General features: G+C 42.6%; 1 protein-coding gene and 1 long non-coding RNA gene across 2 annotated transcripts in view; one reads left to right on the forward strand and one right to left on the reverse strand.

Moving 5' to 3' along the window:
• On the reverse strand, nt 514–2,985 carry LOC101927919 (uncharacterized). Its single transcript, NR_110854.1, has 3 exons — nt 2,798–2,985; nt 2,348–2,536; nt 514–1,783 (listed from the first exon to the last, which is right to left on the reverse strand). It is a non-coding gene; the product is annotated as an uncharacterized LOC101927919 (long non-coding RNA).
• Nucleotides 3,170–12,858, forward strand: part of NUS1 (NUS1 dehydrodolichyl diphosphate synthase subunit) — a 35,259-nt gene continuing 25,570 nt past the window's right edge. Inside the window, exon 1 of the mRNA NM_138459.5 lies at nt 3,170–3,786. Within this exon, the coding sequence (NP_612468.1) occupies nt 3,372–3,786 (415 nt within the window). The 5' untranslated portion in view covers nt 3,170–3,371. The remainder of the gene's footprint in view (nt 3,787–12,858) is intronic.

Consider the following 12,858-nt stretch of genomic DNA (forward strand, 5'->3'; position numbering starts at 1 on the left):
GATTAAGATAATGTAAAGCATTTTGTAAACTGAAAAGTAAATGAAATACCATCCCCATAGTGTTTTGGGCTTAAGAGTCTGAGGCTGGATAACTCTTTCTGTATTTTCCTGTGCTTCATAAAATTTTGGGGTGGAAGGTTAAATGGTATTTAAGAAATCCAAACATTATATTCAGAACCCCTAAGTTCCTAAATGTGCCACATTTACTGCTTTTTTGAAATGACAAAAGAAGAAAATCTTTAGAAGAGAGAGAACTCCATAAACTTAAGATTCCAAGTATGTCCAGAGCAAGACATCCAGTGTGGCTTTCCTGTTATTCCAGAATTGTGGCTGAGAACAAAAGGCACTGAGTCCACCTCCTTCTAAGAACAGTGAAGCAGCCTGAAGTTGACAGCAACCACCAGATGCAAAGCAGGTTCACTGTGCACTGGTTACCGGTTCAGCCCACTGCATTTTGGACTGCACTTTTCCTATATCCAGTGTCCAGTGACGCAGAACACTCACACACAAGTTACACGAAGTGGGTTTATTACTTACAGACAGGCAGCAAGGGACAACAGAAGCATGTCATAATGACCATATCTCCCAAGGCCGAGGAAAACTTCTTAGGGAGGATGGCGTCTCATCTGCTCGTGCACTGCTTGCACCGCAACTAAGGGACCCCAGAAAGCAGTCTGCTCTCAGTTTTTACTACAGGGCAATGGGATGTGCTGGGCTAGTACTAGTTGAAGGACATCCTATTTCTAGAAGAGACTGGAACAGAGCCTGGGCTGTTCTGGTCAGTTCCTCCTTGTCTATAGTATATTGCATTCCAACACATTCTACAGTTATTCTCGAGAACTACAAGTGAGAAAAGGGGAAGAACTGTGTTGGTTCAAGGCCCCCAGAGAACTGTTCTGTATGAGACCCTCCATCCCTAGCCTACTGACAGCTGACAGAGAAGAAAAGTGGGTACCGCCGCCCCACCACTCTTTAGGAGGCTGAACATCCTGGGAGCTAGGGGACCTGCTACTAGGAGGAAACTCTAGGAGGAAAGCAAGCAAATGTCTGGGGAGAGACGCCAGGATCTGCATGTGAGTGTGTCAGATGGACATGTGGCTAGAATCCTTTTGCTTAAGTTTGCAATTCAAAGAAATACAGGGGCCGGACGCAGTGGCTCACGCCTGTAATCCCAGCACTTTGGGAGGCCAAGGCGGGCGGATCACCTGAGGTCAGGAGTTCAAGACCAACATGGTGAAACCCCGCCTCTACTAAAAACACACAAAAAATTAGCCGGGCGTAGTGGCGGGCACCTGTAGTCCCAGCTATTCGGGAGGCTGAGGCAGGAGAACGGCGTGAACCCGGGAGGCGGAGCCTGCAGTGAGCTGAGATCGCACCACTGCCCTCCAGCCTGGGCGACTGAGCGAGACTCCGTTTCAAAAAAAAAGGAAAAAAGAAATACAGAAGATAGAGCCTGTTTGTGCCTGCACACCTGAGAGCAGGCCACGGGAACATGAGATTGATGTCTTTAATCTTGTCAGAACGGATAGACATTGGGGCAAAGAAATGAGTACGGTAGAGAAATGTGGCAACATAGTCGGCATGGGGGGTGGGGTGGGGTCTGCAGAATACGTGGCCAAATCTCAATGGGACACTGGTGTCTAGGGAGCTTCCTTAACAAGCATCATGTAGCTGCATAAACTACAGCAATGGGCAGTGAGGAAGAAGACTGTAGGCTTCCCTGATCATGGCCTTTCGCCTCTCCTTCTTTGTCCATCATCAGAGGAGCTACCGCAGAGGAGACCTGGAGAGAAAGAAGTGTGTGAAGGGTGTGCCTGGTGCCCAGCCCTCAGTTCTTCAGGCTGCACTGCCAAAGGGAGGAAAATTGCACTGCGAAAGGGAGATGGACATGAGATTCAACTTTTAAAGTAAAGTTAAATGAGTCTTAGAAACCAAAATGAGACTAGTTGAAAAAGTGACAATGTTAGAAAAATTAAGTCACATAGCCAAGACGTGAACAGATGTTTCCCAGGGGGAAAAAGAGGCTTTAGCGAACAAAGAATAGGTAGGTATTACAAAAACGCAACTGTTTACACACACACACGTGTGTAAATATGTGTGTATACGTGTGTATGTGTACAGTTGCATTTTTGTAATACCTCCCTAATCTTTATATATATACTTATATAAATATAAATGCAAATAATATAAATATTATTGTTGCACACACACATATATATGATGATAGAGGATGTAGCATGTAGGATAAACCTTGAGAAATGGGTTGGAATGTCGGCAATACCAAGTCGGGAATCAGGAATTCAGGAGAAGAGCTTGAACAAAAAGGGCAAAGACAGTACAGACTTACCGCGGGGAAGTACAAAACCATTCTAGAGGACCACGTCGAAGTCCACATGGACAGAAACATTAGGGTGTTAAAGGGGATGATAAGGCTTGGATGGGCAGTTTGCTTCAAATAGTGGCGGTCATTGAAGTCAGGCACAATTTCTATTTTTTTTCCCCACTGTAAACCTAACCCACGGCGGTTGGTCAAAGTCTTGCCGAATAAAAAAAAAAAAAAAAAAAAAGAATTAAGTGACTGGACTGCCAAGCTGTAGAGCCTCTATTAAGCAATGTACAGCCAGGAAAGGATACCTTAGATGAGAATGACATGGGTAGAGGGGTGTTTCAGGAACATGGCTAAAGAGCCTCGCTCCCAGCCTCAGCCGGGAGGCTGAATAAAGGACAGTAGCAGGATCACTCCAGCCTTTGAGGACACTTTTGGAAACCCTGGTGGATTCCCAGCATCAACACTTACTGAGGGCTGCTTTCCATCCCTAGGTTCTTTCCGGCATTTGTAATTTCCAATCCACTTAGGACACTTCTACTCCTCAGAAACCGTTTCTGTCGGGGCCGTGAGAGGAGACAGTATAAGACTTCCTGGACCCAAGGGACGCCGGGTCCCCTGGAAGCGCCCATCGCATTGAAGACCACGTGTGCCTTGCTGGGGTCCCATTCAGACAAGTCCCGGGTCGTTCGCTCATCGCCCTCCACGCGACCAGGGGGCGCCCGCGGTATCGGCCCGGCTAGTTCGCAGGCGTGCGCCTTCCCTCACTGCGCCGGAACGGGCCACGTTCTCGGACCCAGAAGCCGCGTCAGAATTCCACGCTGGCCAATCGGAACTGTCCATGTACTACTGGGGGCGGGGCTGCCAAGGGAGGAGGAAGATGGCGGCGGGGGCGAGGTGAGGTGTTGGCAGTGGAAAGGGGTTCGGGCTCGGGGGGCGGGGGGACGCGGAGCGATGGCCCGCGCCGGCCGCAGGGGCGGATAAAAAGCCGTCGCGCTGCGGGAGTGGGCGGGAGGGAGAGGGGGTGTCTGAGGGCCACAAGAGTATGACGGGGCTGTACGAGCTGGTGTGGCGGGTGCTGCACGCGCTGCTCTGTCTGCACCGCACGCTCACCTCCTGGCTCCGCGTTCGGTTCGGCACCTGGAACTGGATCTGGCGGCGCTGCTGCCGCGCCGCCTCTGCCGCGGTCCTAGCGCCGCTCGGCTTCACGCTCCGCAAGCCCCCGGCAGTCGGCAGGAACCGCCGTCACCACCGGCACCCGCGCGGGGGGTCGTGCCTGGCAGCCGCACACCACCGGATGCGCTGGCGCGCGGACGGTCGTTCCTTGGAGAAGCTGCCTGTGCATATGGGCCTGGTGATCACCGAGGTGGAGCAGGAACCCAGCTTCTCGGACATCGCGAGCCTCGTGGTGTGGTGTATGGCCGTGGGCATCTCCTACATTAGCGTCTACGACCACCAAGGTGAGGCCCGGTGCGGTGGTGGGGGGTGGCCGAGGCGTCTTGGACCGCTAGACCGCTGGTCTGGCGGGTGGTGCCCATGGCACGAGTTGCCGCGGCCTCTCTGCAAATCACAGCGCTAGCGCTTTCGAGGAAGGGAGATCAGCTTTATTGAACACCTACTAATTCTCTGGATTTGACTCAGTAGCTTTTTAACATTTTAAAAATATCCCTTGGCCGGGCGCGGTGGCTCATGCCTGTAATCCCAGCACTTTGGGAGGCCGAGGCGGACGGATCACCTGAGGTCGGGAGTTCGAGACCAGCCTGACTAACATGGAGAAACCCCGTTTCTACTAAAAATACAAGTTTAGTCGGGCGTGGTGGCATATGCCTGTAATCCCAGCTACTAGGGAGGCTGAGGCAGGAGAATCGCTGGAACCCGGGAGGCGGAGGTTGTGGTGAGCCGAGATCGCGCCACTGCACTCCAGCCTGGGCAACAAGAGCGAAACTCTGTCTCAAATAAGTAAATAAATAAATAAAAATAAATAAAAAATCTCTTATTCGTTATAATACTGCAGTAATGTAGATGGTATTTGTATACCCTTGCCAAGGTTTAAAAACATTAACTGATTTGCCCAAGGCCACAAGATCGTAATGGGGCCACAAAGATCGGAATGAGGATATTGGAATTTTAGCCATTCTGTGCTTTTTCACAATCTTTGCCTTTGGTTACACCACACTGTTTCTTTAAGAGAGCTTCCAGGCGCTGTTCTTAAGTCGCAGTGAGGCTATAGAGGACTTAGGCATGGGCTGTGTGATAGGTACTGCAAATGGGAGCGGTGGGGGTCAGGTGGTATTTGAACTGGGTTTATGAAAAATATGTGAGAGATTGGATAGGCAGAAAAGAAAATGGTCCCTTTCTGTCTTGGAAGGCTGGGATGGTTTGTGATCCTTCATCATCAGTGCCCAACACAGTACTTGATAGAATTGTCCTCTCATATGTTTTGATTGAGGGAATGAATTTCACCATAGGGAGTTTTTGTAAGTACAAAAATTCAGTACTTATTGGGTAGCTACAAACCTAAAGCACTGTGCTAGGCATATTCCTTGGAATCTTGCATTTAATTCCATGGACTCTCAGGCTTGTTAGGAGGTAGGCACACACTCACATATTTGACATGGTTAATAACAAGAAGTGTTGAGAGTAAAATTACTATTGTGAGAAGAGAGGAGAGAAATTGTGAATGAAGGAACTTGAGAAGTTCATGCAGTGGAGGTGGGATTTAAGCAGGACCTTGAAGAATAGGTAGGAGATAAGTTGAGGAATACTCAGGTTTGGGATGTCAGGTTTGATTTTCAATCAGATCTTGAAAGCATTGGAATTTCTTTAAAGATGTGAGAAGAATGATTTAAGAGTATTGGTATGAAGGGAAGAAAACAAAAGTTTTATTCTCTGTTCAATAAATTACCTGTGTGCTCTAGAGAGGCATACATCTTTGTCAGATTGGTAAATTTAAGTGCAGGGTTTTGTCAGAAAGGGAAGGCATAGGCCAGACAGTAACGCTTACAGGCTGATCTCTGATTGCCCTATCATCTTTCCTGCAGCCCGCAAGGAACATGATGACGCAGTAGCCTGTCATCACCAAATGATGATTTGCCCTATAGGGTAAAGTTTGATATATTCAGAGACTGACATTTATGGAACTTGCTAAAGAACTCAGCAGACCAATAGAAATCATGAGACTGTTAGGAGATGACACAATCCATGCCTAAACCAATGCAACCAGTTTTGCTTGGGGAAAAAAATAGGTGAAGCAAAAGTGGACATAAAGGCATTAAGCAACGTGGTGGATTGATGTACAGCCAGGTGATTCTTTTAAAGCAAGTATCTTTATCTTCCAGTAGGGAAGGAAAATGTATAGCTAAATTGTTTGACTTGATGACCGTGCCTACTAGTACAGACTATAATGTTGCCACATTTCCTTGTTTCTGCAAGTCCTGTGTTTAAATTGCTGATGTGATTCAGAAGTATCCTGTGTCATAGTTGCTAAAAGAAAAATGATTAGTAATTAAAAGGAAGAAGTAAGCTAAGCCAAGTTTTGGCTGAGAACTGAAAGGCACCTTAAGGAGCATTTTCAGTGAAAGGGCTTACAGGATTTTGTATCTTAACTGTAAAATCAGTTTTTTTGTTTGTTTTTTTTAAAAGAATAAGAAATATTCCTGAAATAAGAGACCTTCAATTAGTCCATTCTTGGTTTTGATTCGTTCATACATTCATTTACAGGTGACAGTTGGGGTCTGTTAAGTACCAGATACTCTTCCAGACATGGGAATGCAGCAGTGTACTCATGGAACTTAGATTTCAGTGGGAGTCTGACAAATAATATACGTGGGTAAATATGTGGTAATGTAAGTGCAATGAGGAAAAGTAAAGCAGAGAAGGGAAGATAGGAATGTTGAAAGTCAGTGGTGTAGGAAGGGGTACAGTTTTAAATAGGGAGGCCAAGGAGAGGCTCTTTGAATATAGACTTGAAAATATAGGCCATGTGGATATGTAAGAATCACTCAGAGGGAGTATAGACATGTAAGCTTTATTTAGTGTTTCTTTTTCAGTGGTTTTTTTTTTTTTTTTTTTTTGAGACGGAGTCTCGCTCTGTCACCCAGGCTGGAGTGCAGTGGTGTAATCTAGGCTCACTGCAACCTCCGTCTCCCAGATTCAAGTTCTCCTGTCTCAGCCTCCCCAAGTAGCTGGGACTACAGGTGATGCGCGCCACCCCGCCCTGCTAATTTTTGTATTTTCAGTAGAGACAGGGTTTTGCCATATTGGCCAGGCTGGTCTCAAACTCCTGACCTCAGGTGATCTGCCTGCCTCAGCCTCCCAAAGTGCTGGGATTACAGGTGTGAGCCACTGCGCCCGGCCATATTCAGTGTTTCTAAATAAATGTCTATTTAAGCTTATTTCTAGATAGATATTTAACTATGAAAAATCCTATTGACATACTCGTAAATGCCACTGGGATACAAGAAGTACAAGAAATGGTGTCTCTTAAAGAGTTTCCACTCAAGTAAGGATGTCCATTAAAAATTAACACAAGCTAATATAGAAATGCTAAGTGAATGGCAGATACTTTAAGGAGCGAAAAATGGAAAATTTCCCGGGTTACCTCCATATTTGTCTGGTAAGGAAGGGAGCAACACCTGAGCTGGACCTAGTCAAAAAGATAGAATTGGGATTGGCGTGAACAGTGTTCTCTGTGTGTGTGAATGGGGATTTCCCTAATGGCAGCATTCTCATTAGACTAGGTTCAGTAATAGCATTGAGTAGAGTGTTGGGAGCAGTGAATTTATGTAATGAACAGTTGGGAAATGAGGTAGGATGAAGGCTTGGACAGCTATTCTGGTTACCTACTGCTTTGTAGAAATCTACCCAAAGCATAGTGTTTTAAAACAACAATTTATATATTGACTTAGTTCAGTTGGGCAGTTTTTCCTTTGGGTCACTCATAGCTTTCATTCAGATAGAGTCTGGGACCCAAAGGTTTCTCCTTATGTCTGGTGCCTGGTTTTTGATGGCTGAAATAGATGGGGCAGGTTGGTCATCTGGCTTCACATGGTCTGGAGGTTGACTTCAGGGTAACCAGTTAACTAACTTCCCCCAGAACAAATGTTTCCAGAGACTTGGCCAAAGGCTGAAGCTGAAAGATGTCTTAGGACCTAACCTAGGAAATCATGCAGTGTTATTTTTGCTATGTTCTCTTGGTCAGAGAAGTCTCACATCTGTTCTGCATCAAGAAAGTGGAGAAATGGACTTCACCTCTCAATGAGAAAATGGCTTGTGTAGAAAGGTTGGGTGAGGATTTGAAGGGAGATGGACGGGCAGCCACTTTGAAGACAAGCTTACCACCTTACATTTTATTCTGTCCTACACCCCTTTGCTCTCAAATTTGTACTTAAATTCGTTCTAATTATGGTTGGATCTAGATAACAACATTTAATCCTTAGACTAAAAGATCTATTATATTGACCTTAATTTGACTGCCAGCAAACTGATCTTTTTGTTTTTCACTACCTGCAATATTTCTTGATTATAATAGAGTCTGCAAGTAATTCTTTCATCTTTCAAAAATTCAGGTTGTTCTCTCAGGACAGTGATCAGGAATTTTTTGAGTTCAGAATTCTAGCGAGATTTGGCTGTTCTGTCTATATGATTATAATTTAAGAAATGACCATAACTGGGATGGTACAAGAACCAGGGGTTGGGGTAAATGGATTTTATTGTTCTAGCCTTAGCAGTGTTGTTTGCCTGTGTCTCACATGCAGGTACACTTGGCTCCAAGTTATCTGGATATGTATTGTTATCTTAAGTGATGGAACTTGTTCTTATTTCCTGGCTTTATTGTGCCTTGCTGGGAACCTTGCTGTTGATTGGTATTTTTCAAAACCTGTCTGTGGACCATCTGTGAATTAGTCATTGGGGATGCTTATAAAAAATGCAGATTCAACACACTTAGTAATCAAACTTAATGAGGGAACTGGGACCTGGGCGTCTCTGTTTTTATCAAGCTACCTGTATGATACTTCTGCACACTGAAGTTTAACCCTAACACAGATCAAAGGATACTCTGCTACTTGCCTTACATTAGATTATTTATATTTCATGTTCCTTTTCATGATTGAGGATAATTTGGGGTAAGCCTTAGGATTATTTGCTGTAAATTGGAATGATCCAGAATAAGGCATTGCCTTCTGTGTGAGAATTCAACAGTAAGACAACAAATTTTTTTTGTGTGCTGCTCTTTCTAGTGCTATTTCCTTAGTTTATTTAAATCGAAGCTAGGTTGCTTTTGAAATGGTTTTTGGGTACAGGTTTCTCACAGTAACATTTTAAAAGTCTGCCCAGTGTATCCTATCTTTTCAACCTGTTTCTCAATGCTTTGCATACCTTTTGCTATGTCTGTATTTAGGTATTTAATGTTCCAGTTTCCTGGAACTCCCTCTTCTCCTTTTTCTGGCAAATGGCTGTATGCCTACCAAGAGGCTATTGTTCATCTTTTCCGAGTCAATCCTAAATATCACCTTGTATATTTTTGCCTTTCTTGACTATTCACTCCGTTCCCTATCTTACTATATCTCTGAATCTCCTCAGAACTTCAAACATCTCTAAAGGTACTTCTGTTCTCTGCTTTGTGTAGTCATATTTGTATGTATATGTGCATAAACTTTCTTACTAGATTATAAGCTCCACAGATGCTATCCATCCTTCTCATTTTTGCTTTTCTTACAGAGTGTATCTTGGTGTTATGCATGTAATGAATAGTTAATATGTGTTCCTTGAATTCAAAGAAGGGCCGCATTTCCTGTAGATAAGAATAATGAACTGAGTTGCACTCTCTGCTTCCCAACACAATACCCAGAAGCCTTAAAGTAATGGAGGAAAATGAACATAGTTTACCCTAGTTTACTTAGTTGGCACAGTGACACAGATGCTATTGAGAAGTATGATTTTCTTAAGTTTATTCTCCTTATGTTGAAATACAGAGGTGCCGGAAATGTTGAAAGTCTAAATATAAATGTGATTACATTTGACATACTGAATAGTACAACCTAGTGTTTATCTTCCCTCATGTGGAAACTCATGTAAGGGAGCATTCTATTCTTAATCTCTACCTTTGTGTAGTTGACTTTTTGTACAGTTTCACATTTATCTTAACATCCTGAAATGTCCTCTTCACCTTTTTCTGGCAAAGGGCTAGCTACCTGTCAAAAGACTGTTGATTCTTTTCTTTTTTGACATGGAGTCTGGCTCTGTCGCCCAGGCTGGAGTGCAGTGGTGCGATCTCGGCTCACTGCGACCTCTGCCTCCGGGGTTCAAGCTATTCTCCTGCCTCAGCCTCCTGAGTAACTGGGATTACAGGCATATGCCACCATGCCCACCTAATTTTTTGTATTTTTAGTAGAGATGGGGTTTCACCATGTTGGCCAGGCTGGTCTTGAACTCCTGGCCTCAAGATCCACCTGCCTCAGCCTCCCAAAGTGCTGGGATTACAGGTGTGAGCCACCGTGCCCAGCTTGTTGATTCTTGTAAGTTCATCCTAACTATCATCTCTGAAGTAGCCTCTCTCGACTGTTCCATCCCCAGTCTTACTCTGTCTTTGAAAAATTCTATCCTGCTTTTGTTAACTTTTTAAATGACTTTATTCTCTATGTACCCTTTTGTTTAACTATAGTACTGGATCTGTGTATTAAAGTAAACCTTTGCTGAGTGTGGTGGCTCATGCCTGTAATCCCAGCAGTTTAGGAGGCTGACATGGGAGGATTGCTTGAGCCCAGGAGTTTAAGACCAGCCTGGGGAATATAGTGAGACCCGCATCTCTGAAAAATAAAAATAGAAAATGAGCTAGACATGGTGTGTGCCTGTAGTCCCAACTACTCAGGAGGCTGAGGTGGGAGGATTACTTGAGTCCTGGAGGTTGGGGCTACAGTGAACCATGGTTGCACCACTGTACTCTAGCCGGGGTGAGACCCTGCCTCAATCAATCAATCAATAAATCAAACCTGTATCTTAAGCGTAATAATTATCCTTTGTTGAACTTTTAGTCTGTACTGGATACTATAGAAAAGTGCCTTAAGTCATTAGCAGTTTTACAGATAAACTGAGATTTAAAAAGCCAGGTTCCAAATCTAGTAAGGAGCAGATCTAGAATTTGAACCAGATTTTTATTCTAGAGCTTTTGTGCTTAACCGTTACATTATTTTGATTTCCACTGGTAAAAGAATGTGACGACAGTAGTCACTTTTAGTACTGTTTCTGATTCTTTTGGGTCATCTTCAAGCTTTGGTAAACAGGCACTTATCTACAGGTTATAGAAATTATTTGTAAAAGATATTTAAAGACTAATAGAGATTTCTTCATCCCACTAGTGTACATGTTCATCCTTTGAGTTATAGGACACATTTTTTAAAAAACCAGCTAAAAATTTAATGTTATGGTGCTCCAGCTTTGTGTTGAGCTGTTAGTTTGTCAGGTGAGCAGATTCTGTAAATATATTCTCATTTTAAAAATGTCCAACAAGATGCCGAAAAAACCCACATGGATTGTTCATTTTACATATCTCTTGTGCTGACAAGCTAGGACTTAAATCTAGCCCTCATTTTGTTATATACTTTGTCACCATTACACATACCTGTTCTCTTACTACAGCACTGCAGTATAATTTTCTACAGTATAATTGTTGTTCTGTGAGGTGTCCTGAAGGGCTCTCTCCTGAAATAAAATAGCTTAATGGCCTATGTATTTTGTTATGATTTATTTTCTTATGACTACTTCAGTCATGTAAAATTTTAATGGTAGATTTTTTTCATTTTAAATAATTGCTCCATAAATATATGTTTTCTTCTCTGAAGATTGCTCTCTAGTCGTTTTATAATTGAGTTGTTAGAGGTAACTTAGGTGACTAGTTTAAAAAGAAAAAGAGGTAGGCCAATTTTTAGAACAGGCATTTATTTATAAATAGAGATTACTTTAATTCCATAACCAGTGAAGTGCTTAATAATGAGGAGAGATTGTTTCAATGCTTATCTCATTTTTTTCTCTTGTTTGTTCTTGTAAGTACTTGCTATTATTTCTTAAAAAGTCTGTTTCTGTAGAAGGGAATAAATAATCACAGTAAAAATTCCAGTTTCAGATTTAAAAGAGATAGTAAATGTATTTTAAAAGTCTCATTTTATAGACTTGATTATACATTTCACATACCTTTTAAAATAATCAGTATTTGAGGAATGCAGATAAGATTTGCTGATGGAATACTTGTCTAATTAAACTCCTTGTGACTTGGTTCCCTTAATTTAAAAAAAGTATGCATGTCATGACTTTATTATTCAGTTAATGTGTAAGACTGAATACAGTATGTAACCTAGTAGGTAGATTAGGCAAATTAACTTCTACTCTACTCTGTTTTCTTCTAATCCATATGTGTGGCTTCTCCTCTGTTGTACTTCCAAATGTTGTGGTGTCCTAGAGTTTGGAGCTGTATGTATGCCTTTGTCTTTCTGTTACTCACTTTGTTGCAACTACTCAACTCTGCTAGTGTAGTCAAAAATGGCCATAAGCAAATGTGGCTGTTTTCCATAGCAGTAGTTTGCTGACCCCTGTCCTGCAGATAATCTCCCCAATCCCATGGATTTAAATGTCACGTGTGTGCTGACACACAGGTTTGGGCTGGAAATACAGTCCTGATATCTCCCATAATTCCAGACTTCTATATCTAACTCCTTGTCTAAAATAATTTATTAGGTCAATCCTATGCCTTGTATGTCTAAAACAGTACTTTTTGAGACCTAATCCTTGTTTTAGTCTCCATTGCAGCCATCCAAGTTTAAATTACCATTGTTCTTTCACCTGGATTACTGTAGTAGCCTCCTAATTGATCTCCATTTTTCTATCCTGGTCCCTGTATAATCCATTCTTCACCTACCAGCGAGGTGATCTTTTTTTGATGGCATCATTTGGACTGAATAAAACCCTCCAACAGCTTCTCGTTGTAGTTGGAATGCTTTCGAAATTCATTACCAAGGCCCACAGGCCCCTTCATGTTACGGCCACTGCTGACATTTCTGGTGTCCATATGATACTCTACTTTCCTCGAATGTGATGAGAAACCTGACTGCTGAGAGAATATGCAATAGAGTGATTCCTATAATAGCAATCACCTGGGGAAGTATTGATTTTTATATTTTAAGAACTGAAAAAAACAGCAAAAAACTTTTTGTTTAATACAGTTGTTAAAATAATCATGAGACTAGCACCAAGGAAGGATACATATTACACAAGTAAAAAAAGCAGGATACAAATTGCATAATCATATACACTAGGATTACATATGCATGTGGACAAAGACTAGAAAATATTGAGAAGTCGAAATAGTTGTGTTACAATGGTAAGGTTAGGGACATTCCAGTAGTTATGGGGAAGGTTAGGGAACATTCCCTTATTATCTAAACATTGAACATCTTATTTTTTAAGACTAGAATTTAAAACAAATGTTTCTTAGAATCTAAAATGAAGTCTTCATTTGGCCCCCAAAATGCATACCTGCT

This window comes from Homo sapiens, chromosome 6 (assembly GCF_000001405.40).
Source record: "Homo sapiens chromosome 6, GRCh38.p14 Primary Assembly".
Taxonomy (NCBI): domain Eukaryota; kingdom Metazoa; phylum Chordata; class Mammalia; order Primates; family Hominidae; genus Homo; species Homo sapiens.